This window comes from Homo sapiens, chromosome 2, assembly GCF_000001405.40.
Source record: "Homo sapiens chromosome 2, GRCh38.p14 Primary Assembly".
In the NCBI taxonomy this organism is placed as follows: Eukaryota; Metazoa; Chordata; class Mammalia; order Primates; family Hominidae; genus Homo; species Homo sapiens.
The window spans coordinates 175,453,573-175,474,280 of record NC_000002.12 but is presented as its reverse complement, the minus strand read 5'-3'; the positions used below and the strand labels follow the sequence as shown (position 1 = coordinate 175,474,280).

Below are 20,708 nucleotides of genomic sequence, written 5' to 3'. Positions count from 1 at the left end.
ATCAGAATTTTCTTTCTATTTTGTTTTCCCCACTTCCCCACTGGAATTAGACAGGTTTCATTCTGTTCCTGGACATCTTGTTATGACTCTTCACAGGGTACCTTATGCAGAATTCCAGGCTGGTTAAAATACTTTGACATTGGATTTCAGACTGCATTCCCTAGCCAGATTATTTTCTTAAAGTAATACTCAAGAATAATAGAGTTTCTATTGCATAGGTTTTCTAAACAAACTTACTTGGTAAAATAATGAAGAAAATAGACATCTACTTATACAGCTCTGGGGAAAATCACATTCCCAAAGATAATTTCATTTAAAATGTACATTTCAAATATTCATATTGCTAATAAGATTGCAACTATCAACAGTTTAGCGTTTAGTGTAACTTTCTGACTGGCATAAGGCCTTCCATAGTCAAAGGGCAAGTCTTATCTATGTCACATAAGCCAAAGCAAAGTATCATTCTTCAGCTATTTCCTGTCCCTCTTCCTCCCCAAATCCTTCTTTTCCTCCTTTCTCCATTCTACCAAAAATATGGTTTGATGTATTAGCAACAACTGGGCAATTTTAAAAACAGAATGTATGAAATCTGAAGAGAAAACTAAATTTCAGAAAGTACATGTTTGCTTAGTTAAGAGGACAAAAGACTTTTTTTAAATGTCCAATATGGTGGTTTCCAGTATTCATGAAAGCTAACAAGTGGTTCACAATTCCAATAACTTCTATAAGAACACTGATTGCCCTTTTGCTGATAGGCATGGTCATCATTGCATGGACATATGAACATGTGGGCCTTTGATCATAGTTAAGAATCATTCAGTAATGAATATTAATTATCATATGTTACAAAATAAATCAGATACCAATAAAAATACAACACCATAGACTTACGAGGGGCCAGGAGATAGTCTTGGTCTCCTAACATGCCAAACACTGATTTAGCTTCTTGATTTCTAATATTCAATTTAAATTCCATAACAGTCCTTGAGATATGTGCTATTGTCCTTATTTCAAAGATGAGAAAATCGAAACTCAGAAAATCCAAATAAATTAATGCCTGAGTCTGGCCTTTTTGCCTCCTGTCTGGTGGACCACCTCCAATCTGTTCCCAGGCTTGGATACTCTTAGTGGATTCTCTTGACCTTTAGAACAAAGTCTAAATTCATTACCAAGTTTCTCAAGGTCCTTCATGATCTGGCCCCAATATTATCCTCTCAAACAGCAAACTTTATCAGTTCTCACCTCAAGCTCCACTCTCAATCACATTCAACTTCTTTCAGTTGCCTGAATATGCCATGCTTTCTTTTGCCCCTGGGATTGTGCTGATGCTGGTCTGTACCTAGAGCACCCTCAAACACACTTTTCTCCCCCTCTTTAATGATCTGGCTAATTCTTCCTGGATCTCCAAATCTGAACTTATGTATCTCTTCCTCCAGGAAGCTGCCTCTGAGCTCTGAGCACCTATTGGGTGATCCCCTACAAGATCGTCATAGTGTATAGGTGATCCCCTATAGCTCATCATACTGTCTCACATTCTGCCTTGTAATTAATTACCTGTTCACTTTTCTGTATCCCTCCCTTGAAAAAACATCTGTGAAGGCAGAAACTGAGATGGTCAGGTTCTCATGGTATCCCAGCACCTAGCTGTATGCAGTAGAGAATTGATATGTATCAAACGTCTGGATGATTATGAGAATGACATTGTACTTAGAGAATTTTATTTTAATGACAATATGGCAAAAATTCTATGGCAATTCCTTCTGAAAGCGCACTATTTAGGATGGCATCATGGCAGTTTGTTAGGGGATATGCAGAACCATAGGTGCAGTATGGCTTTCTAAACCATCCATGTTACTTGGTAAGTGATAAGGTTTGGCTCTGTGTCCCCACCCATATCTCATTTTGGATTGTAATCCCCATAATCCCTATGTGTGGAAGGAGGAACCAGGTGGGAGGTGATTGGATCATGGAGGTGGTTTCCCCCATGCTGTTTTGTGATAGTGAATGAGTTCTCATGAGATCTGATGGTTTTATAAGGCAGTTTTCCCTGCTCTTGCTTGATCTCTCTCGCCTGCTGCCATGTAAGATGTGCCTCTTCCCCTTCCACTATGATCATAAGTTTCCTGAGGCCTCCCCAGCCATGTGGAAGTGAACTGTGAGTCAATTAAGCTTCTTTCCTTTATAAATTGCCTAGTCTCAGGTATGTCTTTATAGCAGTTTGAGAACAGACTAATACACTAGGTAATTTTAAATATTAATTTTAAATTAAAAATACAGATACATAGACTAATGTGGTAAAATATAAGACTTCCAAGAAATTTTCCATTTTGAATTAGATCCACAGATATAGAGTGACAATCACTGTTCATGATGGTCAAACCTTAGTTACAAGGTCACAATCATTTGGGAGCAGGCTTTAAGATGAGCAATGTCAAATTTATAAGCCTCAAAAGGAAACTGTGTGCTTTAAGGAATATTTGAAGGTCAATTCTGCTTAATTTAGAGAAGACTGAAGAGAAATGTACAATCTGCGTTTACCTGTTCGGAGGCTGTTACCTAGAAGAGGGAGCACAGATGCATTATTAGAAATCCATCTTTAGAACAGAGAACCAGGACCATTGAGAAGAGGAGCCCAGATTCGGTTCAACATGAGAAAGGACCTATGAGTTGTCTCTGCATGGTAGGAATAGGGTAAATTTTTGTTTTCTTCTTGGTCCTCTTCTACATGACCTCAGTGTTCCATCAGATGAAATATTCAAAATGAATCCTTATAACAATTCATCAAGAGTACTACAAAAAGAATTCCTGGCTGGAATTATTTTTGGTGCAACGGCTCACACCTATAATCCCAACACTTTGGGAGGCCAAGGCAGGAGGATTGCTTGAGCCCAGGAGTTCAAGACCAACCTGGGCAACATAGTGAGGCCGAACTTCTAAAAAAAAAAAAAAAAGCCAGATACGGTAGTACTCACCTGTGGTCCCAGCTGGTCCAGAGGCTGAGGTAGGAGGATCAGTTGATCCCAAAAGGAGCGAGTCATGATCATGCCACTGCACTCCAGCCTGGACAACAGAGTAAGACCATCTCAAAAGAAAAACTCCTAATTTGTACAGAACACTACAATTTGTCTTTTCTTCTAGTGTTAAGATTATACAAATTTCCCATGAAAAAACTGAATCTAGAGAGTTTGTTTGTATTTGTTTAGGTTTACCACAGGTACAATCTGTGCAAAGCTTTTTTCTTTTTTTTCAAAATGGGATTACGTAAGTTGTTTTAGATTTGCAATAATCCATAGTTGGTGCAAAATAATTAATGCATTCCCATGGAAAGTGAAATTTTCCCAGACCCTATTCCATACAAAGATTTTAAAAGCACTGTACAAATATATTAATGGGATCACCCTATAATATCATTCTGTAACTTTTTCCCTTGACACTACATTATGGACATCTTTACTTGACAATACAATAGATGGTATTTATCCTTTTAAACAGTTGTATGATATTCACTGTCTGGATGCGGCACAACAAAAAATGTCATCTGTTCCCTATTGATGAACACTTGCTTTGCAGTATTGTTTGCAATTGCAAATATTTAATGATAAGCTTGTTTTATGAAAAGATTTTCCATGAAACAGACTAGGCCTCCATTCTGAGAACTGGTACCTCAGAGCACGCCTTAACAGTGTGCTGGGGAATGCTCAAAGCTATAGGCACAGTGTATCATCCTGGACCATCCATTTTACTCAATGATAAATAATTTAAAATATTAACGGTTTTAAAAAATAAAATACAATTCAGATCTATTATATGGAAAAACACAAAGTGTATACAGAACTTTCTATTTCTTTATGGCAAAATAAAGGACTTCAATAGCATTTTCCATTTTGAGTTAGGGACCCAGGCCCCCAAAGGTAAGTTGACTTTCTTCTGCCATTAGGGATATTCCAGTGGAAAATTCTGAAAAGGACTTATTTAGGATCTTGGAACAGTTTGAATGCCCGAGAGGATTCCAGACAAACTAGGGACTAATTATAATGGCTGAACTAGGTTCTTAAAATAGAAGTCAGCCAAGAGCTCTCAAGATGGGTTCCTCAAAGTTAATATGAGTACACAAAAAAGAGAGGAGGAGGAGGGCAGAGTGTGTCTCTATCAGCCGTGTACCTGGATCAAGTCCAGGTGCGAAAATTGGTTTGTGTGACGACTCGGAATAATTTTCTATGCTCACAATCTGGGAAATATAAGGTTATCTTTACTTTGGGCTTTTGTGGTTCTTTGTAAAGGAAGTCTCATTTTTGTGAGGCGAATAGACTCTTCAAATAGCGAATTCTTAACTAGAAAGTCAAAGTTCAATCACAGCCTACTTGTTTATCTTGTTTTACTTGAAAAAAAATTAAGTGCCATAATGAAAGAACACTTGAAAAGACAGTCAAGCTATTGTTGATAATTCTAGCCAGTGAGAGGATTTCTCCAAGCCTTATTTCTCTCACCTGATTTCATCTGGTGCTTTTAGACCAACGGCATAATGTTGTAGGGCTTCCCATCTTCTTAAGCACCTTAAATTCTGTGCATACCAAAAACAGTTGTTACTCTGAATAGATGTTTTTGTTCTCCACAAGAGGCCTGCAGAGCAGAGGTGAATTATGTTTAAAAAGGAATCATTTTGCCTGTCAGAACACTTTACATAAAACAACCCTTGAATTCTGAAGGATTTTTAAACTGAGCTCCAAAATCCTACAATGTGCATCTAAAATATCCTGCTAGCTAAAAGCAAAAGAACTGGTCTACCGACCTTCAGCTCTTGCCGCTTGGAAATATTCTTTAGTGCTTAACAGTATTTGACTTACCTGCATTTATTTTCTACTGTGTTCATTTTTAAGTCATCACTTTAGTCCAGGTAAATGGATTCAATAGAGATGAACACACCATCATATTTTGTGAATCTGCATAGCTGAACGCAATAATAGTATAATTATGCTGTCTAATATTTGCTCGAAACGTGTGTCATTCATTATCATATGCTAATTGTGCATAATTAATGTTAACTATTCATGGGCACAAGATCAATTATGTGTTGTAAAGTAAAACTTAAATGCAAAAAAAGAAAAAAGCTCCTCGTATAAACAAAACATAATAACAGACCCTTTATTCTCTAAGGCATGTTAAAAAGATTATAAATGAATTGACCATTTTGATATTAGAACGTATACAGTAAATAACATGTGTAAAAATGCAGTCATTTTAGGTCTCCTGGGGAAAACAGCAGTAACTCTTCCTCATGTGAGAAGCATGGAAGGAATGCCATCGAAAGAGACACAATCAATATATTATCTTCAGAACAAACAAGGGAGCTACAGATGAGGGCTGTGGATGGATATTATAGATGAGGGATTCTGTTGTCATAACCACTTGGAAAACTTGGCAGGATGCACATCCAATTCATAAAACAAATGGTCAACTTATTATTCAGGTTTAGCTCAAATTTTGGTGAGCTTGGCAGAATTTGTCACTGTGGAAATGTACTATGGACTCAAAGCAAAAGGCTCGTTTTGTTTAAGAGGCAGCTGTCTCTAGAATTGAATAGCAAACAGGGAGTTAAGTGCCTCTTCCCCCAACTTTCATTAACCCTCAGACTAACAGGAAGGCGGTATACATTACCATCTTTGTATCTCTTTTCCCCTTGGAGGTACTGAAGCGAAGCCAGAATAAGTATCTTGCTTAATGTGAAGGCACAGTTCAGTGCAAGGACTGCTAAGAGATCCCTAAACTCCAAGCTCTCTGTGAGTCCGATGTGTCTCCCAGCTTTCTTTCCCCAAGCACCCAATTTCAGGTAATCTATGCGCTCCTTCACACCTTATTTGTATTCTCAACCGTATGTTTCCAGTTTTCTGTTTTTAGAAGAACTTTGTATGACTCCCTGTTCCCTGCTGAAGTTGTCATTCGTTCTCTTGACCTGATCATTCTGGCTTTTGAACTTCCAGAATAGGATTGTTCTAGGATTGTTCTTTCCTACCTCCTCTGAAACGAGGTGTGGTCATGTGAATTGCTTTGGTCTGTACAACATGAGTGGAAGCGACAAAGGGCAAGATGTTTAAGAAGCACTGTGTGATGTGCCACACTGGTGCGGTGTTCACTGGAAACACACATCAAGATGAAGCCTCCCTCATCCCAGATGCCTGGGTGATGACAAGAAGCAGAGGCCTTCTTTTGGTTTCAATGGACATGTGATGTGAGCAGGAAATAAACTTTGTGTTATGTCAGTGAAATTTGGAGTTTGCTTGTAACATAATTCAGCATATCCTGAATGATACATGTACAAAATAAAATCTAAGCTTCAGTCACTTGGCATTGAAGGCCTTCCACCATCTGGCCTCAACCTATATTTTATACACTCACTTAACTTATTGAGAGGTATTATATGCCAGCAACTTTGATAATTTTGTACCTAGGTGTACAAAAGACCCATGCCCTCAAGGGGGAAATATGCATTGGAATTATGACAATACGGCATGATCAGTTAAAGTCTAGCTAACATAGAGGTCTAGTAACAACAGGAAAAAAGACCATTTTATTCTTTTGGGGCTGATATTGGCAGTAGTATAGAACATTTTGTGCAAGGAGTGGTCAGCATATGATAAGGCACAAAAGAGGTAGAAAGCCAAGCATGTTCACAAAACTGAGCATAGCTGAGTATAGTTTATGTGTCTTCCCCTAGGACATACTTACATTGCCTCTGTCTATGCCACATCCCTTGCCTGGATTCCTCCAAACATCGTAGACTTAATGGGGAAGTAGGGGTGCTGGGACAGGTGTCAAGGGACTTGGAAGTTTTCCTTTCATACTGGTCTCACTTTAATGTGGGCCTTTAAACTTAGACATTTATCTCATCTTCAAATTAGTCAATACATACAGTCATAGAGATAACTGATGGGATTCAAAGATGGGGTCCATTATATCACTTTAAACCAGATCACTCTATAGGATACTTGACATAAACATTTTTTTTTCTGCAATCCAACAACTTGGGATATTATAGCCGTGGGGTAATCCAATTATCCCACGACTACAATTTTATTGCATTGCATTTTCTATGCAAAAAGCATTCAAAGTAAACATTAAAATATATCTCCGTTTTTGTAGCCCTGCTTTGAAATGTCTGTTTTCTTTCTCTTTTTTAATATAAGTATCCTTAAAAACATAATAAAGGTCAGGGTTTCTCCCTTCTTCTCATGTGAAAATTTCAAGATCCTTCAAGGCATGGATGCTTAAGCTCAAATGTTACCTCCTCTGTGAAGCCTCCCTTGACGTGTATTATTCTTCCTCTTTGATCCCTCAGCATTTTGTTTGTAACTCTGCCCTTTATAACATTTAACCTTTCCTAAAAGATGAATGTTATTTACATGTCTACAACTGCCACCAGGTTGCTCTTAAGTGGTTCACAGTATCTTACTCATGTCTGCATCCCTCCTGGCACCAAGCATGGTGCCTGGACAGAAGAGGCAAGCAATACATGCTGAACTGAACTGAAGATGTGGGTAAAACACCCAATAGTTATAAAGATGGAGGAAAATTGATAAGAAAATTGGTAAGGAAATAATATCTCCAGAAAATAAACCCCATCCTCAGAGCAACCAGGTACAAATTTTGTGTAAATACCATGCATAAATGGGCTCTCTCAGTAAGAACAAATAGTGAGATAGAACCCTACAGAAAAATGTAATAGTGTCCACTACAGTATGATTTTACAGGTCCAAAATCCATCTGAAACCTCTGGCCAGATGTGTTTCAGAATCTAGAATTATTTAGAGGCTAAAAAGATAATGTGGTACATGAACTTCTGTAACACCCCGACAGGGTGTGGGGCAGCACTCCAGAATCAACACTTAATGTTTCTGCAGGAAAATACATGACTCTTCACCCAAAGTAGAAGAAATAAAGCTATAATAGGCTCATGTTGGTTTAGCTTAGATTTTGCTGCCAAATACATTCCAAAAAGTTTAAGGCTTTGGAGTTTTAGAATTGTAGACGGACCTTGATATGGTTTGGCTGTGACCCCACCCAAATCTCATCTTGAATTGTAGCTCCCATTATCCTCACATGTCCTGGGAGGGACCCAGTGAGAGGTAATTTAATCATGGGGACAGTTACTCTCATGCAGTTTCATGATTGTGAGTTCTCATGAGATCTGACGGTTTTATAAGGGGTTTTATCCCTTTTGCTCAGCACTTCTCCTTGCTGCTGCCAAGTGAAGAAGGACGTGTTTCCTTCCCCTTCCACCATGATTGCAAGTTTCCTAAGGCCTCCCCAGCCATGCTGAACTGTGAGTCAATTAAACCTCTCTCCTTTATAAATTACCTGGTCTTGGGTATGTCTTTATTAGCAGTATGAGAATAGACTAATACAGACCTATATTACTAATAGCTACTTATCCAATACACAAAGAACACTTGATTATTGTGGAAGATCATCTTTCTCCAGCCTATCTTTATCAAATTCAAATTTCAAATCTTTATTGCCAAAACACTTTACAAACTTCTAATTTTTTTAAATTAGAAGTTTACCTTAAAAACTCCTTTTTTGAAAAAAGCTCACCATCAAAATATTGATATACAGACTAGATTCAAATAAGGATTTAGTATGTGGAACGTGAAACTTTTTTTCCAGGCAATGAGTTAAGTATCTAAAATATATTGGTTTAAAGATTTAATTCCTGTGAAAGCAGATTTTTGAATATAAATGGTTTTGTCAGGGTGTCAGACACATTCTCACATACTGTGCAGGTTTCCCTGGGTCATTGAAGGGGGCCTCTGTAATAATGCATCTGACTAAGATCACATACACACATACACACAAACACACACTCAAATTTGCATGTGTTTTGCCATAAACATACATTTGGCAAGAAAATAATCCAAGTTATACAAATGAAGTGCACTCCACAAATCTGTTTCAAAGACACACACCACCCTGACCATATTCTCTTCAGTTTATCCCATACATGAAAATCAATGTTGGCACTGAGTGTTTCTGTACACAAAGGGCATGGATAGTCTTAAAAAGAATGCTGTAAAGAATGTGAGTTTTTAAAAAAACATCTCATGTAGTTTTTGATTCCTCCTAGGCCTGATTTTTTAGGACCCAGTTTTGGAGAGCCAGGCTAATTAGTAAGGCTTCTTTATAAAAGTCTTAATCTGTGAAATGTAGCTTTTCAGAGTTCTCAAGGGAATGAATATGGGTGGCCAGGGTTTTGAAGTGAATGCGGCAATCGCAGGCTGTTCTCTTTAGGAAACACTGCAAATGGCTAAATGAGCTCTGGGTGAAATCGTAGGAGGCCTTTGGCAAGCAACACTTCTGAATGTGTAATTTCTAAAAAAAATACATACATCTGTGCTTTATAACCAAAAGGTAAGGTAATGGATAGTAAATTGTCTTTCTACTGGTTCTAAGCTCCTTGAAGACGAAGAAACCAGATCTTGGCAGAAGCTCAATAAATATTTGCTAACTGGACTTAACTTCAAATGACATTTAAACGAGAAAATTCAGTGAAATCTTTTTGTGTTGAGGGTCAGTTTAATTTAAGTTTTAAAAGTAAAGAACAGGGGTGATTTGGATGGGAACAGAGGTTCTAGGAAGCAAGGCCTTCAATGGAAACCCGCCTTATCGCTATTTTGGAACTGTCAGGAGCTCCATTTGGCTGATGATCCAGCAGGCGTGAGCACAGGTGGAGACTCACATGAACCAGGCAGCATATCCCCATTTGGTGACATTGCGAAGGAAGGCCCACAGGACCCTACACCACAGACCAGAGCCCAAGGCTGAGTGGGGAAATTGCCGGCTGCCATGGCCACTGCGGCAGCATGAGGCTCTTTGCCTTCACACGGGGAGAGCATGGGTCTGGCCTTTCCAGCAGAATTTTTAGAGTCCTTTTTTGAATTAAGAACTAGCAGGGAATACCAAGCCTTTTTCTTTCCTAACTTCCAGTATAAGGATCTCAGTGTCCAAGTTTGAGCAAGGTAAAACGAAAGAAAACCAAAGCACATTCAGGGCTCTGGCGAGGCTGCTGGTGCAGGCTCCAGCCCCACGATCTCAGTCGCTGCGGCCTTGAGCCTTTCGTGTTTGCTCTTGAGCTTGTCCTTCAGGTGTGATGCAAGGCTTGGCCAGCTGAGGAGATGGAGAGCCTCTCCCAGCCAGTCCTCCTCCCTCAGGGGATTCCACAGTGAGCAGGGCACAGCCGTGCTATCCCCAGAACTCCCCAAACTCTGGGTGGTAATGGTCTGCCAGCAGTTACAGTTGTTGATCTTATAATTGAAATATAAAAGGGGCTCGCAGCTGTCAGGAACACATTTAACAGGGTGTCTCTGTTCCAATATTGTGGGCTGCTGCGACTTTGTAATTGTGCGGTGTGTTTACAGGCATCACAAGAAGGGTTAGGGAAGGAAGCAAATAAAGAAATACCTTGGAACCGTTTGTAGGGCTTGGGCCCCAGGGCAGGAGGATATGTTGGCCAAGTGTCTAAAATACTATTGCTAAACCAGCAGGGTCTGTGGTTTCCAAGGCTGGGCTAGTCTACAGAATAGTTTGTTTTGCAACTACTGTGCATAAGGGCCCCCCTGTCATCTTCACTGGAGACTCTAACCTTCACTTAAAAATTGTCCTCTGCTTAATGCTTTGTTTTTCCTTTGATTTCCACAATATACGATATTAATGATAACATGTCCTTGGCCTTCTTTTATTTGTATTTTTAAGGTAACCTCTTGCTCTACCTTTTACTTCTAACCTTTCTCTGTCACTTTGTCTGGATTTACAGTTAAATGGGGAAAATAGAGCTTGGCCTCTCCCTGCAGTCATGACTAGGAAGCTTGAGCTGACTGATCTCATCTTGTTTCATGCTTTCTGAGTTTTATTCATTCCTGCTGTTTTAATGGTCCTCTTTCTCTTGCTAACTTCACACAGCATTTTCCTTTTTTTTTCTCTTAACACTGGCATTTTAAATGCTATAATTTTAACCTTGATAGAGACTAAACGCAACAACAACAAAAGTTAAAGTACGGATTTTGAATTTCTTCCTCACTGTGACCATTATTTCAGAGATAAGTGACTATATTTTAGCTCCAGTCATCATCTTTATTTACTCCTACTCCTTTATGGCCAAGTTTGGCCATTCTTTAATTTTGAAGCTATAATGTTTAGCAAGGATGATTAGAGGGACACTTCCATTCAGAAAGGAGGGTTCAAAGGCTGGGTACTCCTTACTATGCCTTTGGAATAGTCACTCGACATCTTCATTCTCATTTCCTCATCTGTGACATGAAGAAAATAATAGTGCATCTCCTTGGACTCCTGTGAGGATTGAATGAAATGACATAGGAACAAACCCAGCACAGAACCTAGTGCCCAATCAATGTTGATTGTTGTTTATGTTGTTGTAATATTAATCTAGAAAGCTGACTCCTGCTACGTAGCCTTTGTCTTTCCAAATGCGTTTCAGTTTTTTTATTTGTTAAGCTAAGGGTACTTAGCTGTTACAAGGATACTCGGTTAACTGTTAAGCCATGAAGCTCCAGAAAGTCTTCCCTCTGAATTGAAGAATGGCATCTTTGGCCAGATGCTTTTCTATGACTGGAGGAGGAAAAGAAAAGTTTGTCAGCTATTCTAGTTAATAAATCCAGTCCCCCCTGAAATCTCCGCTTACTGTGAAAGCTGACCCCCTTCCCCAACATTTGGGCCAGGAGCAACCCAGGGTTCCTTTGAATTCTTTGACAAAGGTCTTATGGCCTTGGGCTGCTCTTTAAGGAAGCACTAGTTGGTTCCTCAAACCTGGAGGCTTTTGAGGAGGAAACCTCAGGGAGCCAACTCTGCCTCTAAATATCCATGTGACCTTATGGTAATGACTTTCTTCGGACCTCGCTTTCCTCTTGACCAAGGAGCCACATTATTTTAGGCCCTTTAATAAATCATTGTGATTGTTTTTCAATCAGTATCATCAGAAAGCCCTTGACTAGACCTGAGCACTTTGCTGAATACCATACAACAGATCTAAATTCAGTTCAACCTGAAACTTGTTTGCTGTGTACTTACCATGTGTCAGGAACTGGGAGAGCTACAGAGATGTGGACGTAAGAAACGTGCATGTTCAAACTGTAACAGGAAGTGTAACGAAAGCGCAGAAGCAATGCAAGGGCAAAGATAAAGAAATGTAGACATTGACACTTCCCTCAAATTACTTGCCCTCTGGACACACACGCAGTACTAGGGCTATTCATTCAGCATGTGTAAATATGCCTATGTAATATGACCCCAGCAGCAACAGTGGGATGAGTGTTTAGATGGTGCTTCACATAGGCTAGGCCCTGCTTTCAAGGCTTCAACATATCAACTCTATCCTCTCAGCAACCTTATAAAGAAGATTGTTATAGTCCATTTTTATGCTGTTGATAAAGACATAGCCGAGACTGGGAAGAAAACGAGATTTAATTGGCCTTACAGTTCCACGTGGCTGAGGAGGCCTCAGAATCATGGCGGGAGGCAAAAGGCACTTCTTACATGGCAGCGAGAGAAAATGAGGAAGAAGCAAAAGCAGAAACCCCTAATAAACCCATCAGGTATCATGAGAGTTATTCACTGTCACGAGAATAGCACTGGAAAGACTGGCCCCCATGATTCAATTACTTCCCCCTAGGTCCCTCCCACAACATGTGGGAATTCTGAGAGATAAAATTCAAGTTGAGATTTGGGTGGGGACACAGCCAAACCATATCATTTCACCCTGGCCCCTCCTAAATCTCATGTCCTCACATTTCAAAATCAGTCATGTCTTCCCAACAGTGTTCCAAGGTCTTAACTCATTTCAGCATTCACTCAAAAGTCCACAGCCTAAAGTCTCATCCCAGACAAAGCAAGTTTCTTCCACCTATGACTCTGTAAAATCAAAAGCAAGTTAGTTACTTCCTAGATACAATGGGGGTACAGGCAATGGGTAAATACAGCCATTCCAAATGAGAGAAATTGACAAAAACAAAGGGACTACAAGCCCCATGCAAGTCCAAAATCCTGTAGGGCAGTCAAATCTTAAAGCTCCAAAAGGATCTCCCTTGACTCCATATCTCACATTCAGGTCATGCTGATGCAAGAGGTTGGTTCCCATGGTCTTAGGCAGCTCTACCCCTGTGGCTTTGCAGGGTACAGCCTCCCTCCCAGCTGCTTTCACAAGCTGGCATTGATTGTCTGCAGCTTTTCCAGGCACACGGTGCTATCTGTAGGTGGATGTACCATTCTGGCGTCTGGAGGACAGTGGCCCTCTTCTCACAGCTCCACTAGGCGGTGCCCCAGTAGGGACTGTGTGTGGGGGCTTCTACCCCATATCTCCCTTCCACACTGCCCTAGCAGATGTTCTCCATGAGGGCCCTGTGCCTACAGCAAACTTTTTTCTGGGCATCCAGGCATTTCCATACATCTTCTGAAATCTAGGTGGAGGTTCCCAAACCTCAATTCTTCACTTCTGTGTGCTTTGAGGCTCAACACCACATGGAATATGCCAAGGCTTGGGGCTTCCAATCTCCAAAGCCACAGCCTGAGCTGTATGTTGGCACCTTTCAGCCGTGGCTGGAGTGGCTGGGACACAGGGCACCAAGTCCCTAGGCTGCACACAGCACAGGGACCCTGGGTCTGGCCCACAAAACCACTTTTTCCTCCTGGGCCTCCAGGCCTGTGATGGGAGGGGCTGCCATGAAGGTCTCTGACATGGCCTAGAGACATTTTCCCCATGGTCTTGGGGATTAACATTAGGCTCCTTGCTACTTACGCAAATTTCTGCAGCTAGTTTGAATTTCAGGAAATGGGTTTTTCTTTTCTATTGCATAGTCAGGCTACAAATTTTCCAAACTTTTATGCTCTGCTTCCCTTATAAAACTGAATGCCTTTAACAGCACCCAAATTACCTCTTGAATGCTTTGCTGCCTAGAAATTTCTTCTGCCAAATACCCTAAATCATCTTTCTCAAATTCAAAGTTTCACAAATCTCTAGAGCAGAGGCAAAATGCCACCAGTGTCTTTGCTAAAACATAACAAGAGTCACCTTTACTCCGGTTCTCAACAAGTTCCTCATCTCCATCTGAGATCACCTCAGCCTGCACCTTATTGTCCATATCACTATCAGCATTTTGGGCAAAGCCATTCAACAAGTCTCTACAGACTTCTAAAGTTTCCCACATTTTCCTGTCTTCTTCTGAGCCCTCCAAACTGTTCCAATGTCTGCCTGTTACCCAGTTCCAAAGTTGCTTCCACATTTTTGGGTACCTTTTTAGCAACTCCCCACTCTATTGGTACCAATTAACTATATTAGTCTGTTTTTATACTGCTGATAAAGACATACCCAAGACTGGGAAGAAAAAGAGGTTTAATTGGACTTGCAGTTTCACATGGCTGGGGAGGCCTCAGAGTCATGGCAGGAAGCAAAAGGCACTTCTTACATGATGGCAGCAAGAGAAAATGAGGAAGAAGCAAAAGCAGAAAGCCCTAATAAACCCATCAGATCTCGTGAGACTTACTCACTATCATGAGAATAGCACAGAAAAAACCAGCCCCCATGATTTAATTACCTCCTCCTGGGTCCCTCCCAAAACGTGGGAATTCTGGAAGATACAATTCAAGTTGAGATTTAGGTGGGGACACACTCAAACCATATCAAAGATTATATATTAGATTGATGCATTGGTTTTGCCGTTAAAAGTCATGGCAACCTGCACATTGTGCACATGTATCCTAAAACTTAAAGTATAATTAAAAAAAAAAAAAAAGAAGTCATGGCAAAAACCGCAATTACTTTTACACCAGCCTAATAATGTTTCCATTTAAAAGATGAGGAAATTGAGGCATGTGCCCAAGCTCACACAACTAGCAAGTGACAGAGCCAGATTTATGAACACAGAAAGTCTGGCTCTAGAGTCTACATTTTTTTTTTTTTTTGAGACGACGTCTCACTGTTGTCGCCCGGACTGGAGTGCAATGGCATGATCTTGGCTCACTGCAACCTTTGCCTCCTGGTTCCAGCAATTCTCCTGCTTCAGCCTGCTGAGTAGCTGAGATTATAGGAGCCTGCCACCACTCCTGGCTAATTTTTGTTTTTTTTTTGTTGTTTGTTTTTTTTAGTAGAGATGGGTTTTTACCATGTTGACTAGACTGGTCTTGAACTCCTGACCTCAGGTGATCCACCCACCTCAGCCTCCCAAAGTGCTGGGATTACAGGCGTGAGCCATCACACCTGGCCTACATTTTATTTTTGTAAACCAAATGATATCTGGCCTCAATCTCACAAGGGTGGACAGAACATTCAATTTCAGTCATTGTAGGGTGGTAATTCCCTATCTTAGAGTCTTAAAAGAGTCAGGGATTGAGAAAGCCCTTACATGGTCCTGAAAAATGTGGGGAAAGGCTGGATTCTCAGTCCACTGTGATTGCATTGGGGAACAGATTTCTTTGCCAGGCTGGCTCCAGCACACCACTACCTTAGAATTCATTCCTCCATCCAAGGCCATGCTACCTCCTCTAAGTGAGAGAGAACACTGCCTTCAACCATCAGCCGTATGTGCATCTTCTTTCCAGTTTTAGGAAATCATTCTCATCCCTTCTGCCTGTTCTCTCTTCAGTGAAGCCTTCCTCCTTACAGAATATCTACAGAACTCTACTTTGGAAACAAAAGCCTCTTAGAAGGAACAAAAGGGTAACAGTGTTCTTTCTTGACATTCCTGCCAGGTAAATAAGCAGAGTTAATTTCTCACTCAGGTTAAATTGCTTTCAAATATTCTTGGATGTGAAGAGAATTGCACCTTTGCTCTTGCAACGCTCCTGTGAAGCAAGTCTCCTTAACTACAGAAACCATATTTGGGCTAAGTTTCAAATTAAGGATATCCTGCAATTCTATAATACTTGAAATGATGCAAGCAATTTATTGAGCTGGTGCAGAAAGGAGGAAGGAAAAAAAAAGACTGCCAGAAAGCCCTCAGCCATGGAGGTGAGCGTCTGACCCTGTGATGTTGCCTTGTCTATATAATTTGCTGCATGTTGCATCATACAGAATATGCCAACCTTTTTCTGCCTGCTCAAAAAAGGTGATGCTAATTAGATCAGGCAAATAGCTGCTGTTGTTGATTCATTTGAAAATGATTATTCCAAGGCAGTGTGTTATTACCCAGCAAGTCACGGCTTTCCCTATTAAGGCTCTGAGGTGGCTGCCAGACTTCAAAGTCGGAGGTGGAATTTGAGGCTAGCAGTGCCGGCTGGGGCAATGTTAGAGCTGGGGTCACTCCTAGAGCCTTCATCTGAGGACAAGAAAAAAATCTATTTACATTTAGGAACTTAATCCCTTCGGGTCGGTATGGACTCCACTATCAACTCAGTGCCAATAAATATCAAATGGGACACTTGCCATGTGCAAAACATAAAACAGTGGATTGCACAAAATCAAATAGGAAAGTGGTGCCTCACTATAAAGGTTCTTACACGTCAGTAAAAGAGCTAAGATGCTAACCCAAGTAGTAACGCAGAATATTGCAAGTGCGGCAATTAAGTGAAATAGTAAGAGTGTATTTGATAAAGGGGCAAGTTTTCCACATGTTATTTATTTGGTATATTTTAATTATAAATAATATACTATGGGAACACCAATGATGTACACATTCATTTTGTAGAGGGTAGACACAGAAATACAGATAGGGAAGGGCTTTATGAAGAAAGAAGCATTTGAGCTGCTTTTTGAAGTATGAGTAAAGTTTTAAAAATTAGTGAAGCCAAAAACAAAAATAGAAAGAATGAATAAGATCTAGTATTTGATAGCACAACAGGAGGGCTATAGTCAATAATAATTTTCTAATTTGTATTTTATTTTTATTTTTTGAGACGGGGTCTCACTCCAGTTGCCCAGGCTGAAGTGCAACCCGATCTAGTGGTGTGATCTCACTGCAGCCTCGACCTCCTGGGCTCAGATGATTCTCCCACATCAGCCTCCTGAGTAGCTGGGACTACAGGCATGTGCCACCATGTCCACCTGGCTAATTTTTTGTATTTTTAGTAGAGATGGGATTTCGTCATGTTGCCCAGGCTGATCTTGAACTCATGGGCTCAAGCAATCCACCCACCTCAGCCTCCCAAAGTGTTGAGCCACTGCGCCTGGCTCCTCTAGTCAATAATAATTTAATTGTACATGTAAAAATAACTAAAAGAGCATAATTGAACTGTTCATAACATGAAGGATTAATTCTTGAGGGGATGGAGACCCAATTTCCCATGATGTGATTATTATGCATTGCATGCCTATACCAAAATATCTCACATATGCCACAAATACGTACACGTACTATGTACTCTAAAAAATTAACAATTAAAAAAAAGTGGAAAAAACAAATAAGCCCCCCAACCCCACAAAAAAAGCAACAAATCGGTGTTAGCTGGTACAATTTGAAAATCAGAGGCAAAAATAGAAGTAATACAGTACACATACTTAGAAATATAATTAGATCATGGAGCGTCTTAAATTTGGACATAAAAAATTTGGATCTTCTTTTTTTTTTCAACTTTTATTTTAAGTTCAGGGGTACATGTGCAGGATGTGCAGGTTTGATACCTAGGTAAAGGTGTACAGTGGTGGTCTGCTGCACAGATCAACCCATCACCTAGGTATTAAGCTCAGCATGCATTAGCTATTCTTCCTAATGCTCTCACTCCCCCAGTCCCCGCCACCAACAGGCTTCAGTGTGTGTTGTTCCCCTACCATGTGTCCATGTGTCCTTATCATTCAGCTCCCAATTATAAGTGAGAACATGCAGTGTTTGGTTTTCTGTTCCTGCATTAGTTTGCTGAGGATAATGGCTTCCAACTCCATTCATGTCCCTGCAAAGGACATGATCTCGTTAATTTTTATGGCTGCATAGTATTCCATGGTGTATATGTACCACATTTTCTTTATCCAGTCTGTCATTCATGGGCATTTAGGCTGATTCCACGTCTTTGCTGTTGTGAATAGTGCTGCAATGAACATACACATGCATGTATCTTTATCATAGAAAAATGTATATTTTGGGGGGTATATATCCAGTAATGGGATTGCTGGGTCAACTGGTATTTCTACCTCTAAGTTTCTTTCCATTAAGACAAATAAATATCTTCTTTCTATTAAGACAATGCAGGGCCAGGCACAGTGGCTCACACCTGTAATCCCAGCACTTTGGGAGGCTGAGGCGGGCGGATCACAAGGTCAGGAGATCAAGACCATCCTGGCTAACATGTGAAACCCCGTTTCTCCTGAAAATACAAAAAAAATTAGCTGGGCGTGGTGGCAGGCACCTGCAGTCCCAGCTACTCGGGAGGCTGAGGCAGGAGAATGGCATGAACCTGGGAGGTGGAGCTTGCAGTGAGCCGAGATCGCACCACTGCACTCCAGCCTGGGCAACAGAGCAAGACTCTGTCAAAAAAAAAAAAAAAGACAATGCAGAACATAAGTGCTTCTTAGAAAAGGCTATATGTAAAAAAAAAACCCAAGGCATATAAAAATAGCCACAAGTAGGTAAACTTTCTATACCATTGTTGAGGAAAATCTAAAAAATATGTGAAAATTTTTTTTTGAGGTTTGTGTTTCCAGGGACACAGATTCTAGATAAAAATTGGCCCATTATAATCCAATATCATTGAAACCGATTTCATTGCTCCCAAATAAAGAACATGTTTTCCCTTTTTGCCTTCTGTTTAAATTCCTCTTTCTCCTTGTGAAGCAGTTAATGTGCTGAAGCAAAGTGCTGAGCCCACCTCCAAACCTTTAAAATGTAGCTAATTACAAGATAGTCCAATTTAAACTTTACGACATTCTTGATACCAGAATGTATGGTGGTTCGTTTCTGTTAATCAGCAGAAGGGAGGCGGTGTGGTGCCAGGCGGCGGTTCTGGGAAGAGCACCAGGCTGCTCCAGGCAGGAAAGGGCTCTGAATCCCAGGTCTGCCTCCCACTGGCTCCAGAAGAGATCATTCCACCCCTTCTCAATCCACAGAATGAGGCAATTGCATTGGATTGTGTTCCATTTACCTTCACAAACATTCTCTGAACTAAACAAGAAACATCGTGAAACATGGGCAGTTAAACAGCATGTATTGAAAAAGGAACAAAATAATGTCTTTTGCAGCAACTTGGATGGAGCTGGAGGCCACTACTCTAAGTGAAGTAACTCAGCTGGAGGCCACTATTCTAAGTGAAGTAACTCAGCTGGAGGCCACTATTCTAAGTGAAGTAACTCAGGAATGGAAAACCAAATAAATGTCACTCACAAGTGGGATCTAAGCTATGAGAATGCAAAGGCATAAGAATGATATAATGGACTTTGGGGACTTAGAGGGTAGAGTAGGAAGAGGGTATGGGATAAAAGACTACATACTGGGTACAGTGTACACTGCTCAGGTGACCGGTCCACCAAAATCTCAGAAATCGCCACTAAAGAATTTATTCATGTAGCCCAATACCACTTGTTCCCCAAAAACTACTGAAATAAAAATACATAAACAAAAATGGAAGCATGTATTGAGAATGCATAAATGATACTCTATAGTGTCATTTACTTACAAGTTCACTTCTGTGATAACACATACAGGAGCAATGAATCCACTCAGTCAGACAAGGAGGCCAGAGATACAGATTACCTGAAGTAAGAAATGATTTTATTTTCAAACTAAAAGAATTATATTATATATTCTTCTTCTCAATCCTCAGCCTACAAATGGCATTTCAGGAAGTCAACAATAGAATGCATCCTATGTACCTGATTTTTGCATCTCCCAATTGTGTCCTATCAAATAATTTGATTTTAGCCCTGTAGTTAGATTATTAACTTTAGAGTGGCACAATCTGAAGCCAAAAACACTAGGAGAATTTAAAGAAGATATTTGGACTGACAGCAAAAAGTTTTAAATATTTTTTACATCTTTTAAAGTTTTTTTGTGTTTTATATTTGTTTTTGTTTGTTTGTTTTGAGATGGAGTCTCACTCTTTCACCCAGGCTGGAATGCAGTGGTGCAATCTCGGCTCACTGCAACCTCCACCTCCCGGGTTCAACTGATTCTCATGCCTCAGCCTCTCCAGTAGCTGGGGTTACAGGCATGCATCACCATGCCTGGCTAATTTTTGTATTTTTATTAGAGACAGTAGAGATAGAGTTTCACCATGTTGGCCAGGGTGGTCTTGAACTCCTGAACTCAGGTGATCTGCCCACCTCAGCTTCCCAAAGTGGTGGGATTGCTGGTGTGAGCCACCATGCCAGGCCTATATCTTTTAAGGTTGATTGATGTCTTTATAAACTTGAAGTTCGTAGGTCCTATCTAAAGATTCTTATCTGTATGGTAGAAACTTGCATGCTGCTACTTTAATTTCCTTCACCTTTATGTGTCTTTGAGAAATTTCATAATTCCATTAAAAAAAACTTAATATCTTATGCCCAGAAATTAATTTGTCTCCTGAAGATTTGAGGAGACAAAGCCAACTTCTCTCATAATAGAAGTTCATATTACAAGAAGTAGAGAAGGAGGGCACACAGCTCAAAGTAGAAGTATCTATGTCAGGATTGCCTCCGAACAAGCATATAATGAAGAAATCTTGTAAAAAATTATTAATGTGATTTTTCTCTGTTGCATCTCTGAGCTCATGATCTTCTCCCCCATCAGCTGGCAATATCCTTGTAT

At 40.3% G+C, this 20,708-nt stretch overlaps 1 long non-coding RNA gene across 1 annotated transcript, besides 1 other annotated feature; it reads right to left on the bottom strand.

The window, feature by feature from the left end:
- Positions 1-2,972: 2,972 nt before the first annotated feature.
- Positions 2,973-19,675, bottom strand: LOC105373752 (uncharacterized). Its single transcript, XR_923596.2, has 3 exons — positions 19,597-19,675; positions 4,488-4,620; positions 2,973-3,060 (listed from the first exon to the last, which is right to left on the bottom strand). It is a non-coding gene; the product is annotated as an uncharacterized LOC105373752 (long non-coding RNA).
- Positions 9,702-10,176: a silencer, noted in NCBI's record as "fragment chr2:176328833-176329307 (GRCh37/hg19 assembly coordinates)". NCBI's record gives its function as "represses an EF-1alpha promoter that drives an FKBP-Casp9 reporter gene in an ReSE screen in phorbol 12-myristate 13-acetate-treated (for megakaryocytic differentiation) K562 erythroleukemia cells {active_cell/tissue: K562(+PMA)}" and the evidence as "EXISTENCE:reporter gene assay evidence [ECO:0000049][PMID:32094911]".
- Positions 19,676-20,708: the final 1,033 nt, after the last annotated feature.